Genomic DNA, 20,562 nt, shown 5'->3' with positions numbered 1-20,562 from the left:
TGGGAGCCACTGTGAGCTGCTAAAGGCAACTTTTATATGTACTAAGAAACCAAAATTTTGTGTGACTTGCTTTCCAGTAATATTTGTTTTATTGTGGTAGTCTGGAATAGAACCCACAATATCTCCGAGGTATGACTGTACTTCTCAAAAGTGGGGGAAAGGGCTTAACGCTTTTGCTTAGTGAGACATCCTATGAAAAAGCATGTACTAACCCATTCAACCGTCCGTATTTTTTAAAGAGGAAAATATACAGGTTGCTTACATTTGCTACACACATCTCAACCATAAGATTCCCAGTGCTACAGCCAGAGAATCTGTTAGCTACAAATTCAAGGCAAATTACCATGTTTTTGAGCCTTTGGTTGACTGATTAACCACAGGTTCTATAACTCTGCCTGTTACTGCATAACTTTTGGCATTTGTAATCAGGTGCAGTGGCTCCCACATGTTATCCCAGCGCTTTGGGAGGATCGTTAAAGGCCAGGAATTTGAATCCAGCCTGGGCAACATAGGGAGACCCTATCTCTACAAAAATAAAAATTAGTGGCCGGGCGTGGTGGCTTACGCCTACAATCCCAGCACTTTGGGATGCTGAGGCAGGAGGATCGCTTGAGGCCAGGAATTCAAGACCAGCCTGGGCAACAAAGTGAGACCTTATTTCTACTTAAAAAAAAAGGATAAAAATAAAACTATAAAACATAATAAAAATTAAAAATTAGTAACAGGAAGGAAATGGGATTTGCTTGATAGGAAACATTTGCTCTTTGCTTTCTGTCCCACAGGAAAAGATGATCTAAGAACTAAACTCAGGTTTCATAAGCGTCACATGAGAACTTTTCAGAATCCCACTTCACTTCAGGTTTTGTTTCCCCACCTCAAGAACGGAAGGCCGCAGACCAGGCTGGATCTCGCTGGAAGTCCCGTAGCAATGGCTGACGGAAATGAACGTGCTCATGACCAAGCACCATTTCCTCCAAGGCGCCACCAAACCCAAGGACACCAGAAAGCAAGCCACATGACTGCTAAGCTCCGGCACCACTGCCACCAAAACCGGCAGTATTCCTCCAGCCTCCCACATCATCTGTCCCAGGTCCGTCACTAACCTGTGTCGGCCGTTCATCTCCAGGCCCACAACGGGGCAGATGAAACGCGCCCGCTGGAGGTCATCGTGCTTGTCACCTTTAGTGTTTCCTTTATCCCCTTCCCAGGCAGGATTATCAGAAAGCTTCAGCTCTGTCACATTCTGGGAAAAACCATTAATATTTTAACAATTCATTTGATAAACAGATCATCCTTTGCCTTAACCACGTAAGTCAACAAATTGTTATTCCAGCCCTTCCCATCAAAACCTCTCCCTCACAGTTACTTTCCTCTGGTCCATAAGAAACATGGATATAATATTAAACCATATATAGAAAACAGAAAACAAGGCCGGGTGTGGTGGCTCATGCCTGTAATCCCAGCACTTTGGGAGGCCGAGGCAGGCGGATCACCTGAGGTCAGGAGTTCAAGACCAGCCTGACCAACATGGAGAAACCCCGTCTCTACTAAAAATACAAAATTAGCTGGGTGTGGTGGAACATGCCTGTAATCCCAGCTACTCGGGAGGCTGAGGCAGGAGAATCGCTTGAACCCGGGAGGAGGAGGTTGCAGTGAGCTGAGATCGTGCCACTGCACTCCAGCCTGGACAACAAGAGCAAAACTCCGTCTCAAAAAAAAAAAAAAGAAAACAGAAAACAAGATTTTTTTCAATTCACTGACTAGCAAGTAAATCAGTTATTTCTACTATCCACATCTTTTTAACTTAAGGAAAAGTACCCTCTTACATAAAAAATTACTCCACTAACAGAAAGCTCTGCATGAGTTCCACCCAGAAGGGAATGCTTTCTCCCTGTGATGAATCCTCTCTGAGGCTGCTTCATGTTACTGACTATCTACATTTATTTAATCGTTGAAAAAAGCAAAAACAAAAAAATATATATATAAAATCATTGAATAGACAGTAAAATCTGAGGCCACGGTCTAACGAGCTAAGGCAGAATATTAGCCAGAAAATACTGTCACACTCCAAGACACAGCTATTCAGGTTTTCAAGAATTCCCAACTTTATAAGGAATTTGATACAGTAACTCTACTTTTGCATTCGAGGCATTTCTTCATATTTAATGAGACCATTTTGACTTCAATACTCTAGAGAGCAGGTGAGTGTCTTGAAAGGCAAATCACCATTCATACGATCAGCTTCCTGGTCGAGAATGAGCACGTCTCACTGAGTTCTCTGCTCCGAGTATTTGTGGACTATCAATTGACGGTAATGACAATCTTATGTATTAGCATTGTTTTATTTGTATGCTTTTTTTCTTTACTGTTCTAATTTCTTGGAGTTTTTTTCCATTAAATATTCAACCACATAAAACTGAATATTACAAGTATTTTAAGTATAGAACTGTATGAATTAATTTCAATAACTGTTTTTTTTTCTCATCAGATGGGTAATGTGCTGATGTCACAACAAGGCTTGAGAGAGGCACATCTTACATGTGCACATGGAAACCCAATCATAGCATTATGAACTACTAAAGAATCGTTTATCACATTTTTGATGTAAGATGATTCATACTACCACAGGTTTTTCAGGAATAAATTCTCTTCCACAAGGTAAAAGACCACTAAAATCAGAATAATTTCTAGAGCACTATCATTAGCTACATTTCAGAATTATGAATTTGCCTGAAATGAACATATCCTATAATCAACCCCAAGCATTTGAACAAAAAGCCTAATAATACGAAAGAAAGAAAGAAAAAGAAGGCAAAACCTAGAGCCTTAGACTGGGAGTTAGGGGATCTGGTTCTGGTTTAAGTACTTCGCTAGCCATGGGGCCTCAAGTGAGTCATTTACAGTGAGATGAAGGGTTTGACTAGCCTGATGGTTCTCAAATTCTTCATTACCTTTCCAAGTTTTTTTCCCCACTGACCATATTTAAAAAGTTGTGTCCTCTCAAGAAATTTCCCTTATTAAAAAAACTTGTTTTTTCAACTTTTATGAAAGAACTTTAACTGCCAATCAGAACCTCTAATCACCAGATGGTAGCCACGTGATTTAACAGTGATCCATAAAATTATCTAATTCACAAAAGTATCTTCCAAATCCAAAATCCAAGTAGGTGAATCTTAATTACAAAAATAATGCCTCCTAACATTAATAGAGAACATCAAAATTTTCAAAGCACAACACACAGGTGAAATTACAACAGATTTATAATGTAGGAAGTATGCATGGTGGAACTCGTGGCTTGAGATTTAAGTGACCTCTCAAGATCATACCTGTATTAGATGGCCATGTGGGAATGGAATCCCAAATTTCTGAGTTCAGTCTTTAAGGCGTATAAATTCTATAAAATAAACCTCAGCCACTGTTCAGACCCTCACAGCACTTCAGAATCACTCGTGTTACCTTAATGCTTTTAATGTGAGATGCTGCCTTCCCAAGAGCCTTTTCTGCAGATTTGTCCAAGAGAAATTCAATGACGGCATCTTTGTTATAAAGTCTGCAATAGTAAGTATTAGAATATTATGTCAACAAGCGACTTTCAAATAACCAAAGAAGGAAGAATAAACTGAACACAATCCAAAAGTCGTTTACATTTGATAAGAGAAATACCCTGAATTATTAAAAAGTAAATTTAACCCTGTTTCAACTATTTCCAGAGCATACAAAGAAGGAAATTATTTATTTATTTATTTGAGAGAGAGTTTCACTCTTGTCACCCCGGCTGGAGTGCAATGGTGCAATCTCAGCTCACTGCAACCTCCGCCTCCCGGATTCAAGCAATTCTCCTGCCTCAGCCTCCCGAGCAGCTGGGATTACAGGCGCCTGCCACCATGCCTGGCTAATTTTCATATTTTTAGTAGAGACAGGGTTTCACCATATTGGCCAGGCTGGTCTCAAACTCCTGACCTCAGGTGATCCACCCACCTCAGCCTCCCAAAGTGCTGGGATCACAGGCATGAGCCAATGGGTCCAGCCAGAAATTAGTTTAAATCAAAGGTGGCAAACTGGCAGTCAGAAGGCTGAATGTAACCTGAACAAGGCTTTTTTTAATTGGGAAATTTAACGTATAAGTACGTATTTCTTCTTTTTTTAAAAAAATTAAAACCAGAAGGTGTGGAATCACTAGGCCAACACCATTGAGCTGTAAAAACTGGCTGGAACTGAGTGGCAGCTCCCGCTTTGGACAGCACATGGACCCTCCAGTATTCTCCATTCCCTGCCATTCTCTCCTGTTCCTCACATGGCTCCTTCATGTGTTTATGCTTATAATTTAGCTTCTATTGGCCCCTGAGTTTGCTATTTTTTTTGCACAGGCTGGGGTGCAGTGGTGGAATTATAGCTTACTACAGCTTCAACCTCCCAGACTCACAGGATCCTCCTGCCTCAGCCTCCTGAACAGCTGGGACTACAGGATCATGCCAGCCACCAGGTGCCTGGCTAATTTAATTTTTTTGTAGAGGTGGGGTTTCACCACATTGCCCAGACTGGTCTTGAACTCCTAGACTTAAGTGACCCTTCCTCCTCAGCCTCCCAAAGTGGTGGGATTACAGGTGTGAGCCACTGCGCTCAGCCCAGCCCCTCAGTTTTCAAACCATGGATTAAATAAACCAAACTGACTAGAAGAGTACAGAACTATGTTCAGAGACAGGGAACGACAGCCTATGCCTCACAAATTTGCTTGGGATAATCCACGCTTGATGAATGGAAAACTGCATTTACACATCAAAATTCTCAAAATCACTTAACAAACTCATCTTGATTAAGTGTAAAAACCATACCTGCCAAGTTCACAGGCAACTATTGGTCGTCTTAATATTTCCTGACTTAGAGTACAATAGTTCCATTGGGCCACTAATTCAGCATCTTTGTCGACCTAATAAAAAACAAAAAATTCAATTAATTTTCAACTCTGAAAGACACATGGTTCACAATTCTACATATAAAAGTATATTCAGTAATACCGCACTGTAATGATTTTTGTTTTTTAAATCAAAGATAATGACATAGGAAGTTGGGTTTTTGGTTTGTTGTTTGTTTGTTTTTGAGACGGGGTCTCACTCTGTTGCCCAGGCTGGAGTGTAGTGGCGCAATCTTCACTCACTGCAACCTCCACCTCCTGGACTGAAGCAAACCTTCCACCTCAGCCTCTGGAGTAGCTGGGACTATGGGTGCACACCACCAGGGCTGGCTAATTTTTGTATTTTTTGTAGAGACGTGGTTTTGCCATGCTGCCCCCAAACTCCTGGACTCAAATGATCCGCCCATCTCAGCCACCCAAACTGCTGGTATTGAAAGCATGAGCAACTGTGCCTGGCTGAAGTCAGGATTTTAAAAGTCACAAGTAATTAATACTACATCAAATAAACGCCCATCTAAATATGACATGTACAAAGAAAAAGAAGATTATATAAAATTATTAAACTGTTTATGCAAGCCACATACAAATATTAACATCTGAATCTTAATAATAACTTAGGGAGGCCATACAAAAGAGAAAAAAAAAAGTGTGTTAGATTAATTTCTAACAATGGGAAAGCCTGCTAAGTTGCGGCAGAATTTAAAGACTTAAGAACTGAGAAGACAAGCATTTTTTTTTTAAAGTTCAGAACAAAGACTACATAATTCTTTATAAAATGTTCAATTTAACAGAAATAAGTGTTTTGGGGCTTATTCACTAAGGGATACATCAAACTTTATCCCCAGTATGAAAATCCAGACATAAGACCCTCCCTGGCCCTCGAATGACATTTTCACATACATCATATTCCATGTCCCACTCCTTCCCGTTCTTGTTTTTTCCTTCACTGTGTAGACTGCACCACTCTTTCCCATTCTTCAAATGCCAAATCTGAATAATTTAACAGGACAGCACATTTGGAAGAAAATAGGAAGAGAAAAGAAAAAAAGAAGACAAAAACAATCCTGCTGAATTTATTTTATTAATTTATTTTTTGAGACAGGGTCTTGCTCTGTTGCCCAGACTGGGCTGCAGTGGCACAATCACAGCTCACTGCAGCCTCAATTCTCCTGGGCTCAAGCAATCCTCCCCCTTAGCCTCCCAAGTAGCTAGGACTACAAGCAAGCGCCAATTCCCAGCTAATTTTATTTTATTTTTGTTAAGAGGTCTCCCTGTGTTGCCCAGGCTGTTCTCCAACTGCTGAGCTCAAGTGATTCTCCTGCCTCGATCTCCCAAAGGGCTGAGTTTACAGGCGTAAGCCAACACACCTGGCCCTCTGAATTTAATTTTTAAAGTAAAAACTGCTTAAGTGCTTACTGTGTGCCAGGCACTGTGCTAAGCAGTTTCCATAACTTTTTAATCCTCAGAAAAACTCTATGAGTTAGTATTTTTACTTTTGAAGATGAGGAAAGTGAGGCACCAAGAGATTAGGTTATATTCAAAAAGCACCTCAGAGAGTTGGGGACAGGGAGAAAAGTGACAAATCACTCCTTATCCAGGGCTTTGAAAATTGTTTCCCCCGAAAAAGCAGTAAAAAATGTGTTTACCAGGGTCTCTCTTCTTTCCTAGGGTCTTTCTTCTTTTAAGTTTTTACATATCTGTACTGGAAAGACAAGTACAAGTGGTTTTGTTTTGTTTTGTTTTTTTTTGAGACGGAGTCTTGCTCTGTCGCCCAGGCTGGAGTGCAGTGGCGCTATCTTGGCTCACTGCAAGCTCTGCCTCCTGGGTTCACGCCATTCTCCTGCCTCAGCCTCCCGAGTAGCTGGGACTACAGGCACCTGCCACCATGCCCGGCAACTTTTTTGTATTTTTAGTGGAGACAGGGTTTCACTGTGTTAGCCAGGATGGTCTCGATCTCCTGACCTCATGATCCGCCTGCTTCAGCCTCCCAAAGTGCTGGGATTACAGGCGTGAGCCACCGCGCCTGGCCAGACAAGTGTTTTTTCTATACTTTCACTCACAACACTCAATACTTCCAGAACACTTCGGACAAAATGTATGGGATTTTCCCCACACCAACCAATTCTCTGATAGCAGCCAGGTGTCTTACAATTAAACTCAATTCTGATACCACCTATTTGGATATGGCCTCAGATCCCAAAGGTTAAGGGCTCAGTCCCATAATACTGTCCCTACCCCGACTTTAGATGCCAATCACAAGTTCAAGTTGTCACCTGCACTTCTGACTGTCTATAAATCAAAGGCTACCACGATCCCCCCGCCCAGTTTGATGATTTGCTAGTGTCTCACAGATATGGGGAAAGAGTTTAGTTACCATTGCTGATTTATTACAAATACATTTTAAAGGATACAAATAAATAGCCAGATAAAGAAGTAATCTGGAAGGGTCCCAAGTGCAGGGCTGTCCTCATGGAGTTGGGGTAACTCTCCTGGCATGTGGATGTTGTCGGCAACCCAGAAAATCTCCAAACCCTCAACTTCAGGGATCTTTATGGAGACCCCACCACGTAGGCATGATGGATTATTAACTCCATGTCCAATTCCTCTTCTCCTCCCTGAAGGATGGGGGTGAGGTGGGGCTGAAAGTTCCAGGCTTCTAATCTTGGCTTGGTGTTTCTGGTGACCAGGCCCCATCCAGGAGCCCACCAATAATTGCCTTATTAGAACAAAAGATGATCCCGTCACCCAGGAAATTACAAGGAATTTAGGTGCTCTGCGTTAGGAACCAGGGCAGATTTCACAATATTGATCCGAAATGTAAGCTCCACCAGGGCTAGACTCTGCCTTGTTCACTGCTATATCCCTGGGGCCTACAACAATGTATATATGGTAACCACTTATTAAGCATTTGTTGTGTGAATAGTTATAATAAAAATCCATCCTGCCTAGGCATTCTGGCTTTTTTGAATCGCTCTTCCTTCTTTTCTACCCTCTTCCGACACCTGTTTCTTGTCAAGCCTTTCATTAAGCTACTCCTTTTCAGCCCTGGGCACAAGAAAACAAAACTGAGCTAAACACTTTTTTGGTGAAAGCCAAAAAACCACTCATGAATGCTAATTATCCAGCATTCGCCTGTTTACATGTACGTATGATCAGAGGGTACACTTCATCCTCTTGGGTATTCATTCATTCCCATATTCACACATACTTATTAGGTGTCTATTATGTGGCTGACACATGGTAGGGGTTACAGAGGTAAGACACACAAGGTTCCTGTCTACGTGGGAAAGAGACAATAAACAACACAGTGGTAGGCACTGTTAAGAAGAGAAGAGAGAATATTGGAAGTGAGGCACATTTCAGTTACAGTGGACAGATGACATTTGAGTAAAAAACTGAATGAAGTAAAGAAACTCATCATGTGACAATCTCAGTGAAGAGTATTTCAGATTGATGAACTCACACTCCAGGTTGAAGAACAAGAGGCCTGTTTAGCTAGAACAGTATGAAAGAGGTGGAGAGGGGCAGAAGATGAGGTCAGAAACATAGGCAAGGTCTGCTCAAGGGTCTGACGAGATTTTATTCTTAATGTGATGGGAAGCCACTGGAATGCTTCAAATACAATAGTGACTTAAGGGGTTTACCTTTTAAACAAGCTCTCCAGCTCCTGAATCAGAATACATGAAGTCTCCACGTGTGCTTTACAAATATTTTTGTAAAGAAGTCTCTACTAGGTGCTTTACAAATATTTTATCATTAAAAAGTAATTACTTGTGCTAACTTTGAAATCCCAAATAAGTGGATGGGAATCCTGGCTTCACTACCTACCAGCTGTGTGATCTTAGTCACCTTAATATCCCTGGACTCAATGTCCCCGTCAGTAGCAAAGAAATTATTATAATTTCCTCGATTACTTGTGAGATCAGGGATTATTCACTCATTTGTTTATTCGAAATATTTAGTGTGCCAGGAACCATGCTAGTTGCAGAGAAAAAAAGGGTACAGCCTCTGCTATCAGGAACTTACCGTCTAGCGGGGAAGACTTGATACAAATCAACCACGTACAGCCGTGTGCAGGCTAAGACAGTTTATAAAAGGATGTGGTAAGGGAACAGTTTGGGAAGGCTTCTCTGAGCAAATGAAGTTAGTGTATACAAAACTCAGTATACACTAGGTATTTGTATTATTGCTACTAGTCGCAGGTAGGGTTCAAATCCTGGCTCTGCCATTTACTAGCTTTGCAAATTTCTCCTTTTGAGCCTCAACTTCCATGTCTGAAAATGAGGACAACAGTATGTAGCTATAGGGCTATTGTGATAATTACATGAGATACCCCCTGTTAAGATTACTGTCCAGTGAATGGCAATAGTCAGCACCCATTGAATGTCCACTCTTAATACTGTTGTTAATTTTGAGTCCTCTGAATGGAATAAAAGACCGCAGCCAGGTCTGGAACTCCGCTGGCTCCCCCTTCTTACTTCCTCTCGTTTTCTGGGGTCGTCAAATTCCCACCACCCCCGGTCGCCAAGAGCCGGCCCACATCACTGACCTTCTCAACCTTCTTCGGCCCCTTCACCAGTTCATGCCTCTTGGGGATTGTTCCCCCGTCGCAACCCATCGCAGGACGGGAGTCAGAGCCAGCAGCAAACCCCCAAAGCTGTCACTTCCGGGATTTCCGGCGAAATCCGCAGCCACTTCCGGCGCACCGCCGTGACGCAGCACGCTGGTCGTGGCGTAGCGGGGCGGGGCGGGGCGGCACGCTAGGCGCGGCGTAGCGGGGCAGGGCGAGGCCGTTACCAAGTGCCGGTTGTCATGGAGAGCGTCGCTTGGAGGCTGGGCGTGGGCGGGTTTCCTCGTTCCCGTGAGACCCTGGGTTTCTGCTGCACAATCGGAATCACTCGCCCACGCTCCGGGAGGGCAGCGAGGGCGTGGGCGGCCCGTGCGCATCCACCGCTCTTTGACCCTATCCCACGCCAGCTTGTGTGGCTGCGGAGCGGGCACATCCCTGGACTGAGAGCGCCTTGAGGAAAAGGGCCGCCCTCCTGTTTCTGCGATTAAGGATGCCTATGAACGGAATCTGCTGTATCAATGGACATTTTTGTGTTTAAAAGGAGAACGCATCTTTCTTGAGCGCCAACTGTGACTCAAGCACTCACAACAAATCTTGTGAAGTGATGTTACAACAGATTCTAGGAAGTAAGACCCTCCCTTAAGGCCTGGAACTTTCTGGTGTTGCCATGCATATTGTAGATGGCATGTGTGTGAAATTTTGCATACAGTTTGTGCGTGTGTGTATTTCATTCACAGTTTCCTGAAGCCCAGGCTAAAAAAATTTTATTAACAATCAAGTATCATTAATAGACGATATAATAGTTCTTATAAAATATACACTGATGTTGCCATGCCCGTTCCAAGAGTCAGGCTGTATTTTATCTATAAGAACACAAATCCCTTGCTAAAAATTCATGATTGTCTGTCTGCTCTTAGGCGATTGTCTATCTCTCTGTTTGTTCCTTTAATTATTATAAATATTATGGGAAAGTGCCTATAATCCCAGCACTTTGGGAGGCCGAGACGGGAGGAGCACCTGAGCCCAGGAGTTCCAGGTCAGCCTGGACAACATGGTGAGACACCATCTTGAAAGAAAAAGAAAAATTAGCCAGGCGTTGTGGTAAGCTTTTGTAGTCCTAGCGGCTCCGGAGGCTGAGGGGGTAGGAAGGATTGCCTGAGCCCAGGAATTCAAGGTTGCAGTGAGCTTATGATTATGCCACTGCACTCCAGCCTAGGCAACAGAGCAAGACTCTGTCATTAATATGTATGTATGTATGTATGTATGTATTTGTACATATATATGATGGGAAAATTTCTCCATTGCCAAGAAGGCAGATCTTTATGATTGGATATTACCCTATTGACCTACGTGAAACATAAAAACGCTGAAAATATTTTTTACTTGGGAAGAGTTGCCCAGAAAATACGTGGATGTGGAAACTTCAAGGGCTATATGTAAGCTTGGGGTACTTGTTACTGTGATTAATGAGAATTTTAAAAAATAATCCCTTTAATTAGTTGGTCTCTGATTGATTTATGATTTATTTCTATGCTAACCACAATAACTGTAAGCTCTATGAGGGTAGGGACTTCATTTTGTTTTGTTTTGTTTTAGACAGAGTCTCGATCTGTTGCCCAGACTGGAGTGCAGTGATGTGATCTCGGCTCACTGCAACCTCAACCTCCCAGGATCAAAGCGATTCTCCTGCTTCAGCCTCCCCAGTCGCTGAGATTACAGGCGCCCGCCACCATGCTGGGCTAATTTTTGTATTTTTAGTAGAGACGGGGCTTCACCGTGATGGCCAGGCTGGTCTCAAACTCCTGATCTCAGGTGATCCACCTGCCTCGGCCTCCCAAAGTGCTGGGATTACAGCCGTGAGCCACCAAGCCCGGCCAGGACTTTTATTCCACATTGTATCATCAGTGCCTAGAAGAGTCTTTGGCACACTCAATATATGAGTACATTTCCTCAGTAAACCAAAAGAAAGTACAGATTCATTGAGAAAGGGGTGAAAAGCCTAGTTTTGGCAGATACTAAAACTGGTTAGTACTATTAGAATTCCATTTACTGGTGAGGAAACAGAAGCGTGGAAAGATCAAATGACTCCTTCAAGGTCACATAGGCAGTGAGAGACCCGGGAATGAGTGCTAGGATTAGTTCTTTCTCACAGCAAAGGAAAGAAAGTCAAATACAGAAGAGCAGAAACACCAGCATCTTTAGAAAGACTCAAACCAGTGTTCTTTTCTCATTTGGGGAAGAAAAAACAAAAATAGCGGCTCTTTATTAAGCCATGACCATGCGTGCACTGAGAGATTTGTAGGCATTTTTTCACTTTGGGCTCACAATAACCTTAAGAGTTAGAAGGTATAATCCCTCTTGTTTTACAAATGAAAACCCCAAGACTCAGATGTGCAAGTTGTCTTTGTTCAGAGTCTCATAGCTGCTGAGTAAAAGGAGTATAAGATGAGGGGCTGTCTCCGATGAGGCCCGTCTGACTTAACTGCTTCCCCAAATGCTGCTGATAAAACCCAGCAGTACCGGCTGTGCTGGTGTTCTAGCTCAGGCAGCTGGACTTTTTTCTCTTCCTCATTGGTTTCCTCTTTTAGAATATTGGTCTCTAGGCTACTCTGTGCCTCAGACTATACGCAGCTAGAACTTTTGTGAGGTTTATTATCATTGGTAGCAAATATGTGTTGAGAGCTGGCTGCCATGTCAGGTGCTGTGTTCAGCGCTTTATTGGACTTGAGCCGTTTTATTCTCCCGGCTCTACTGGGAAGCAGATGTCATCATTGTCTGCTTCTTCTTCCACTGCCTTGTTGAATGAACTAATAAAGGTTATTCCCTTACAAGCATCTTCGGAGACAACTTTGTCCTAGCCAAGCCATGGATTTTTGGGGAAGCAGAGGAATGAAATGATAAAAAGGAAAATCATTACCCTCTAGTAAAACCAGTATTTCTTAACCTTTTGGGAGTCATTGGACCTGTTTGAGAATTTGATGAAAACTTTGAACTAAATCTCCAGAAAAGTATTGATTAGCACATAACGACATTTCACATAGCGTATACATGTTTGTATTTTACTCACAGCCTTCTGAACCTCAGGCTAAGAACCAGTACTTTAAATGCTGTTATAGTAAGTCCTTACAGTAGGTCTCAAATATTTCAGACTTCTTTTTTTTATATAATTTTTTTATTTTTGAGATGGAGCCTCACCCTGTTGCCCAGGCTAGAGTGCAGTGGTGCAATCTGGGCTCACTGCAACCTCCATCTCCCATGTTCAAGCGATTCTCCTGCCTCAGCCTCCTGAGTAGCTGCAATTACAGGCACATGCCACCATGCCCGGCTAAGTTTTTGTATTTTTAATAGAGATGGGGTTTCACCATGTTGGTCAGGCTGGTCTCGAACTCCTCACCTCATGGTCCGCCCTCCTTGGCCTCCCAAAGTGGTGGGATTACAGGCGCACACCACCACGCCCAGGTAATTTTTTGTATTTTTAGTAGAGACGGCGTTTCACCATGTTGGCCAGGCTGGTCTCGAACTCCTGACCTTGTGATCCACCCGCCTTGGCCTCCCAAAGTGCTGGGATTTCAGGCGTGAGCCACTGCCCCCGGCCCATTTCAGACTTCTGAGCCATGGCAGGTTTGATTTCCTGGTAGCTCTGCTCATATGCTCTTCCGTAGCTGCAGCTTACCATAACTCATTTTAAGAGTTGGCATTAAACATTTTTTAAACTGTCTGCTATGGTTTGAGTGTGTCCCCCAAATTTCATGTGTTGGAAATCTAATCCCAATGCAACAGTGTTGGGAGCTGGGGCCTAATAAGAGGTGATTAGGTCATGAGGGCTCTGCTCTCATGACTGGATTCATGTTGTTATCTTGGGAGTGAGTTAGTGATCGAGACAGTGGACTTGTTATAACATTGAGTTCGGCCCTCTCTTGCTCTCTTGTCCTTCCACCTTCCACCTTGGGATGATGCAGCACAAAAGCCCTTGCCAGATGCAGGCCCCTTGACCTTGGAGTTCCCAGCCTCCAGAACTGCAAGAAATAAATCTGTTCTTATTCTGTTAATGCTGCAAAAAATGGACTAAGACAGTAGATATGAAAAATGTTTGAAGAACTTTGCAACCATCCTTTAAGGTCATACACAGGAAGGTGTCCCAAAGAAGGTTAAAACAAAGTAGAAAACTGAGGCAAGTCCTGAGATAATTCAAGACAAAAATTACTTTTAATTTGCAGTTTTAGGGAAATATTCAAAATATTCTGGCAATATACAAAGCTTTGAATGAACTGGCCCCTGGCCACCCCTCCCAGCTAATGTTGGCCACTGTTCCTTTCCTTATTAGGTTCCAGCCACACTGGCCACCCTCTTCTCCTACCTCTGTGCACATGTCTTGCTGATCCTTCTCCAGGGACGCGCTTTCTCTTCATGTGTTCCCAGCTGGCCCCCTCAAGGGATCCAGCCCTCTGCTCCTGGGACCCTTCCTTGGAGCCATCTTCCCTGACCTCTCCATCCAAAATAGCACTGCTCTGCCATCACATTACCCCATCTTGCTTTATTTTCTTCTTTGCATTTATCACGCAAATATCATGTTATAAATATAAATTTGGACATTTTGTTCACCATGGAGTTTTTTGCATTGATTTTTATTTCTTAAAAATAATTGCATCAACATATTATTTATCTTGATACACAGTGTTTTGGGCACCGCCTTATAGTTAGCATTCCATAAGAGCTCCTCTCCCACCTCCTGCCTGGTTTTTCATCTCCCTCGACTGGAAAGAAAGCGCCATGCTCCAGAGCTTCTGTTCTGTTTCCTGCAGCATCTCTAGTGATCAGCAAAGGCCTGAACAAGTAGGAGCTGCTCAATGACTATTTGAGAAATGAATGAACGAAAGGAAAAGGGCATCAGCAAGTGGCTTTGATTCACCTCCTTATAAGTGCACATACAAATGGGCAACTTTCAGAGAACTGGGGCGCATACATAGGGAAAACATAACATTTTTAAAAAGATGTTTATAAAAAACATAGTTGCCACCAAACCACAAACACAACTCCCCACAACTTGTCAAACTGGAGGATCGCTAACATGGGCTCTTCACCACTTCCAGCCTCCTGATGAAATTTGACTTAGTTGAGGTCAAGTTGCTACCACCACACCACGCACCATTTCCTCTTCCTTCCTTGGGAGGAAACCATACAGAATTCTAGGCATTAAGCAAAAATACTCAGCACAAAGTTACCAAAAGCTAAAAAATTGTGTTTAATTTTATTTTAAAGTTTTTTTCAGAGGTAATCATCTTATTAATCAGTGGAAATTCACCCTGGAATCACTGTTTCAAAAAAAGGAAGGAAACACATTTAGCTAGCAGCAGCATTTTTCATTATTTTACACCCAGTGGTTTTGTACTTTGTTGACAAAGGTCTTCAATTTGGACTCATCTCAAAAAAAAAAAAAAAAAAGGACTTTTCGTTACCTATTAGAACACCATGAAAGACTCACTTATGAACGACTAAGTTAAAGAATATAAAGCATTAGAACAGTGCTTTAGTAGCAATGTAGTAATAATTTAATAAATATATGCCACTGTTATTAAGCGTAAAACATAATTTTATCCACTGCAATACAAATTTATTGTTGGCCTCCTCACAATAATCCCTCCCCTTTTTAATTTTCTGTTTTTTGAGATGAAGTCGTACTCTGTCATCCAGATTGGAGTGTAGTGGTGTAATCATGGCTCACTCACTGCAGCCTCGAATTCCTGAGCTCAAGAGATCCTCCCACTGTAGCCTCCTGAGTAGCTGAGACTACAGGTGTGTACTATCAGGCACAGCTAATTTTTTTGTATTTTTTGTAGCGACAGCATCTTGCTTTGTTGCCCAGGCTGCTCTCAAACTCCTGGGCTCATGCAACCCTCCTGCCTTAGCCTCCCGAAGTGCTGGGATTTCAGGCATGAGCCACCAAGCCTGGCCTAATCCCTCCTTCTTCCAAGAATATTCCTGACTTTTATTAGGGGATCCTCTCGGGACACAGTTCTCCATAGGTCTCTTGCCTTTCTGCACATATTCAGAGCAGAGGCACCAATGGCATTTTGTTGTGAACCATCTTTTAAAGGATGTTGTTTAACCATCTTCCAACAGCCTTGGAATATAGAGATAGTGTCTCCCTCCAGAGCAGAGGGCAGGTTTGTTTGGTATGCAGTATATTAAAAATGAGGGCTAGGCACGATGGCTCACACCTGTAACCTCAGCAGTTTTGCAGGCTGAGGCAAGAGGATCACTTGAGCCCAGGAGTTTGAGGCTGCAGTGAGCTATGTTTGCACCACTGTATTCCAGCCTGAGTGACAGAGCGAGACCCTATCCGAATATATATATATATATCTCTCACATATATAACATCTATATTACATATCTAACATCTATATTGCATAGCTATAACATATATTACATATATAAATATATAGTAAAGATGATGTCTCCCTCTGAGGCCAAGCCTTGTCAGATTTGCTCCGAGCCCGTTATAAAAAATTGGGGATTCCTATGCTAAGGTTCCTTGTCTTTGACACAAACCTATGTGTTCAGCATCCACCTGAGCCCACCACTGCATCACCCCCTGGGACTTGGAGGACATGGGAAATGATGTGAAGGTGAAGCCAAGTTGCTTGCAATGCCAGGAGAAAGAGTCCTCTGTCTCCATGCACAAAAGGATGAACACTGCAGGCCTGACAAATATCCTTATGAAGGCCTGCCTGCAAGGTTGACCTTCGGTTGGTGCATGGAAACTTGGATTTTGGGAGGGTTCCCACCATTGCCAGAATTTATAAGAATGGCTCATTGTGCCTAAACTGTTTATACAAACAACGTGATTCATACTGAACACCTGCTTTCCTTCTGGGAGTCTGGAAATTTGGTTCATGCCAGACAGAGGCTTCCCACCTGATCAGCCCCCAGTAAAACCCTGGCTGCTGAGGCTCTCATGAGCTTTCTTGGTTGACAACATTTCACACATGTTGGCACAAGTGTTGCTGGGGTGAATTAAGCGTGTCCTGTGTGATTCCACTGGGGGAAAACTCTTGGAAGCTTGTGCCTGGTCTCCCCTAGATTTCACCCCGGGTACCTCTTCCCCTTGCTGATCTCACTTTGCATCTGTTCAATGTAGTAAGTCACAGCTGTGAATATGACTGTATTCTGAGTCCTGTGAATTTTCCTAGTGACTCATTGGACCTGGAGGTGGTCTTGGGGACCACTGACATAGTCTCTGATCCCAGAATCTTAGATCTTCTGTCTGCATCCATGAAATGGTGACAGGTTAACTTGTTAATTTCAAAGATGAAACCTCAGGCCCATCACAGTGCTTGAAAGAGCAATCCCGTTACCTCTCAGGACCCATGGGAGAGTGAGTGTGGGGTGGGTAGGAATTCCAGATCTAAATTAACTTGGGTGTTCCATGCCCTGCTTATCATGGAGCTTTCAGGAGCAGCACCTGATCTAAGCCAGTCCAAGCCGAATGAAGTCCTTTTCTTCTCCTCTGGCCAAGAATCAAGAAGAGTGTAACCTGGGAAAACCACCTTGCAATCATGGGGGTTAACCCAGAGCAAGTGGGACCGAGAAACTGGTCCTGGATCACACTGTTGGAGCCCCTGAAACCAGCCAGCCTTGCGGCTAGTTTGCCTCTGGATGATTTTAAGACATATGAGTTAATAAATTTCCTTTACTGCTTAAGACAGATTGGGTATGATTTTCTATCCCTTGTAAGAGAAGTCCTAACTGATGCAGATCATGGCTGTTCAAAGAATAGGCCCCCTGGAGGGCCTCTGTCCAGTTGTAGAGAACCAAGCCTCACAAAGATGGGATCCTTTTTTTAAGGACCCTGAGACTAACTTAATAAAAATAACCAGCCTCCAGCAGTCAACATTTTACAAGTGCCTACCAAGGAAAGAGTAGCAGATAGGAGTTGGACTTGGTATCATTTCAGGTGACTTACAGCCTGGAGATGCTCTTCCAAGCTGTAGAGGTGTTTATGCATTTAGGAGGCCCAGACCATCACTTAAAATGAAGTGATGATGTAACCATGGCAACGTGAGCTGAGGACTCAGCTACAAGGAGAGGAAGAGGAGGTGGTTTGAGTTGAGGGGAGCTCTGTGCCACTTTCATATCTGTGCCCAATGATGGGCATCCTGTCCACACCACGCCTTCCTGTCTGCACCACCACAGGTGATGGCTTTGTTTTCCAGCACCAATCCGGTGCCTAAGAGCAGGGCCTCTACTCCATCTCTCTGCAGACTTCAGGGAGAAGCACTGGAGTGACAAAAGTAAACATCGGAGGCTTCACTTGGGTGACACAGATCAAAGACTTTTCCAAAAAAAGAATGCTGCAAATGATGTTTAAAGTCATGATTATATTTAATATTATTAGGGTGGTGCAAAAGCAATTGTGGTTTTTGCCATTACTGTCTACGGCAAAAACCGCAATTACTTTTGCACCAACCAATATAAATTGTAACAGATTTGAGACAAAATATAAAATTTTTCAAATTGAGCAGAATTTATCAACCCAGAATCTATAATGTATGAAATAAATTAATAGAGAACCCAACAGATCATGTTATGTTGTAAATATAACATCTATCTTTAGGTTAAAGTAACATAGCAAAAATATATATTTATGGGTGCAAGACACATACATAATTTGTACCAATCTCACAGAACTAATTCAATTCAAAACAACAAAAAACTTACTCTATTATCTAATGGATGCAATAAAAATTAACCATTTGAAGATAAGTTCTCTTGCACTTCCCCTACTTACGTTTTTCCTGGCACCTGCTATACTGTGTATGTATTTCTTCACCGCTTTACTGCCTGACTCCCCTACTAGATCATAAGTTCCAAGAGGGCAAGCCCTCTGAAACACTGCTATGTCTCCAGCACCTAGAACTTGGCATGTAGTAGGCATCCAATACATAAGTGTTAAATGAGTGAATTTAAAACACGTACATGCCAGGAATGGTGGCTCAGGCCTGTAATCCCAGCACTTTGGGAGGCCGAGGCGGGGGATGGCCTGAGGTCAGGAGTTCCAGACCAGCCTGGCTAATATGGTGAAACCCCGACTCTACTAAAAATACAAAAATTAGCTCTTCCTTTCTCTGCCATTGTGGTGTGTGCTTGACTCTGCTTCTTGCCATGTCTTCTCATAAGACTTCCAGGATTAAGTGATTCCTGACCGAGAAATTAAAACAAAATCGCCCCACTCCCCAGTGGATTCAGATGAAAACTGGTAATAAAATCAGGTACAACTCCAAAAGGAGACATTGAAGAAGAACCAAGCTAGCCCTATAAGGAATTGCACATGAGAGGGCACACATATTTATGCTGTCTGAAGGTCACAGTCATGTTACCACATCAAGCTGAAAATGTCACCGCTCTCTGGAGAATTGTACATGTTTTATTGGGAATATATTTTTTCTTTCTGAATCTGTTATGAATGCATTGGTTGGCTGGGTTCAGTAATAAATATGTGAGACCTTTCATTAAAAAAAAATACAAAAATTAGCTGGGCATGGTGGCGCACACCTGTAGTACCAGCTACTCTGGAGGCTGAGGCGGGAGAATTGCTTCAACCCAGAAGGCGGAGGTTGCAGTGAGCTGAGATCGCGCCACTGCACTCCAGCCTGTGTGACAGAGTGAGACTTTGTCTCAAAAAACAAACAAAACATGCACACATTTAATCAATATAAAATATTATTTCTGCGAAGTCACTTCAAGCTGATACTGCATACTCCATATATGCTAAACTTCACAAGGTCTTTACCTCATACCTGACTCTCTTTCCTGACCCCCTGCGGGGTAAGTCAATGCCCTGGGGTTGCTTAGCCACTTGGTACTACCAGCTTTGGGCACCAGGTCTGTTTCAGCTCATTGGTGTATGCCCCGGCTGGCTTTTCCCATAGGGCAGAGTTGCACAAGTTGTGGGTGTGAAGCTGAGAGGTGAGCAGAGGAGGAAGGGAGGTAGACAGTCCTCATCCCAGTGTCCCTCTGAACTGCCGCGTGTGTTGCTCCAGCTTCTCAGCCTCCGCCTGGAGGTGCCCCAGCGCGGCAGGGCTGGGGTACGTGAGCACGGCATTCTTAGTGGCCAGCGCTACGTCCTTGAGCAGGCTGCAGAGGTGACTGCTGCCACGGAGGATCTCGTTGCGCACGTCCCTCTCCTGGGTCTCCATGCACAGCGTGTCCACCAGCTTCTGTCCCACCATGATGACCAGCTTGCTCTGAGTGATGATCTCCGCGGGCTGGCTGCTGCTGAGGCTGCCGTGAAATGCGCTGATGGCTTTGAAGAGCGCCCCAAAGTAGAGCCGGCAGTGTTCAGATAAGCGGGGTTTCCTCTCAGGAGTCTGTTGACTCGAAGGCTGAGGTATAAGAGGGCCAGGATTCTAAAGAAGGGAAGGAAGAAAATAGATAGGAGATTCAATCAATGGGCTGTGGCTGTCTGCCCTTTCCTGTTTTGGCTAGATTTGCAAGACTTTTTATTTTTTTTAAAAAAGCATGGTTTGGTTTGGGAAGCCCAATACTGCAACAGTTGTCTAACAAATTAATGTTTTCAAAGCACTGTAATATATAATATATACAATATTATATTGTAATACATACATATATAATTTTATTCAATCATCTCAATAAACCAACTACAAGAAACCCATTTTAAGAAACACATTGGCAATGACTATATTTATAACTTTTTTTTTTTTTTTTTTTTTTGAGACAGAGTTTTCCTTTATCTTCCAGGCTGGAGTGCAATGGTGCAATCTCAGCTTACTGCAACCTCCACCTTCTGGGTTCAAGCAATTCTCTTGCCTCAGCCTCCTGAGTAGCTGGGATTACAGGCACCTGCCACCATGCCCAATTAATTTTTGTATTTTTAGCAGAAATGGGGTTTCACCATGTTGGCCAGATTGGTTTTGAACCCCTGATCTCAAATGATCTGCCCACCTCAGCCTCCTTAAAGTGCTGGGATTACAGGGGTGAGCCACTGCACCCAGCTAAATTTGTAACTTTTAAAAATGCACAAAAACTTGATGAGATTTAAAATTTTCTCAAAGAACAGATT

General features: G+C 43.1%; 2 protein-coding genes, 1 non-coding gene and 1 pseudogene across 12 annotated transcripts in view; 1 reads left to right on the top strand and 3 right to left on the bottom strand.

Moving 5' to 3' along the window:
• The window catches only part of RTF2 (replication termination factor 2), a 50,823-nt gene extending 41,222 nt beyond the window's left edge, over window positions 1-9,601 (bottom strand). For 3 of the 6 annotated variants that reach the window (NM_016407.5, NM_001283036.2, NM_001283037.2), the window contains exons 1-4: window positions 9,462-9,601; window positions 4,833-4,927; window positions 3,457-3,550; window positions 1,104-1,243 (exon numbers count right to left, since the gene is read on the bottom strand). In NM_016407.5, the coding sequence (NP_057491.2) occupies window positions 1,104-1,243; window positions 3,457-3,550; window positions 4,833-4,927; window positions 9,462-9,530 (398 nt within the window). In that variant the 5' untranslated portion in view covers window positions 9,531-9,601. Of the gene's footprint in view, window positions 1-1,103; window positions 1,244-3,456; window positions 3,551-4,832; window positions 4,928-5,812; window positions 5,903-6,558; window positions 6,615-7,286; window positions 7,603-9,461 lie in introns of those variants that run through there. The other 3 variants (XM_017027872.2, XM_047440189.1, NM_001283035.2) reach the window with 3 other exon arrangements.
• Window positions 2,483-2,585, bottom strand: LOC124904979 (small nucleolar RNA U13). The gene has a single exon (XR_007067770.1). It is a non-coding gene; the product is annotated as a small nucleolar RNA U13 (small nucleolar RNA).
• An 8,244-nt stretch (window positions 9,602-17,845) lies between the features above and the next one.
• Window positions 17,846-20,562, bottom strand: part of CASS4 (Cas scaffold protein family member 4) — a 48,347-nt gene continuing 45,630 nt past the window's right edge. For all 5 annotated transcript variants that reach the window (NM_001164116.2, XM_006723831.4, NM_020356.4 and 2 more), the window contains one exon: window positions 17,846-19,888. In NM_001164116.2, coding sequence (NP_001157588.1) covers window positions 19,481-19,888 — 408 coding nt within the window. In that variant the 3' untranslated portion in view covers window positions 17,846-19,480. The remainder of the gene's footprint in view (window positions 19,889-20,562) is intronic.
• RPL39P (ribosomal protein L39 pseudogene) lies at window positions 18,596-18,993 on the top strand (annotated as a pseudogene).

Source organism: Homo sapiens, chromosome 20, assembly GCF_000001405.40.
Source record: "Homo sapiens chromosome 20, GRCh38.p14 Primary Assembly".
NCBI classification, from domain to species: Eukaryota; Metazoa; Chordata; class Mammalia; order Primates; family Hominidae; genus Homo; species Homo sapiens.
Note: the sequence above shows the minus strand (reverse complement) of the source record. Positions and strands in the feature narration are given on the sequence as shown.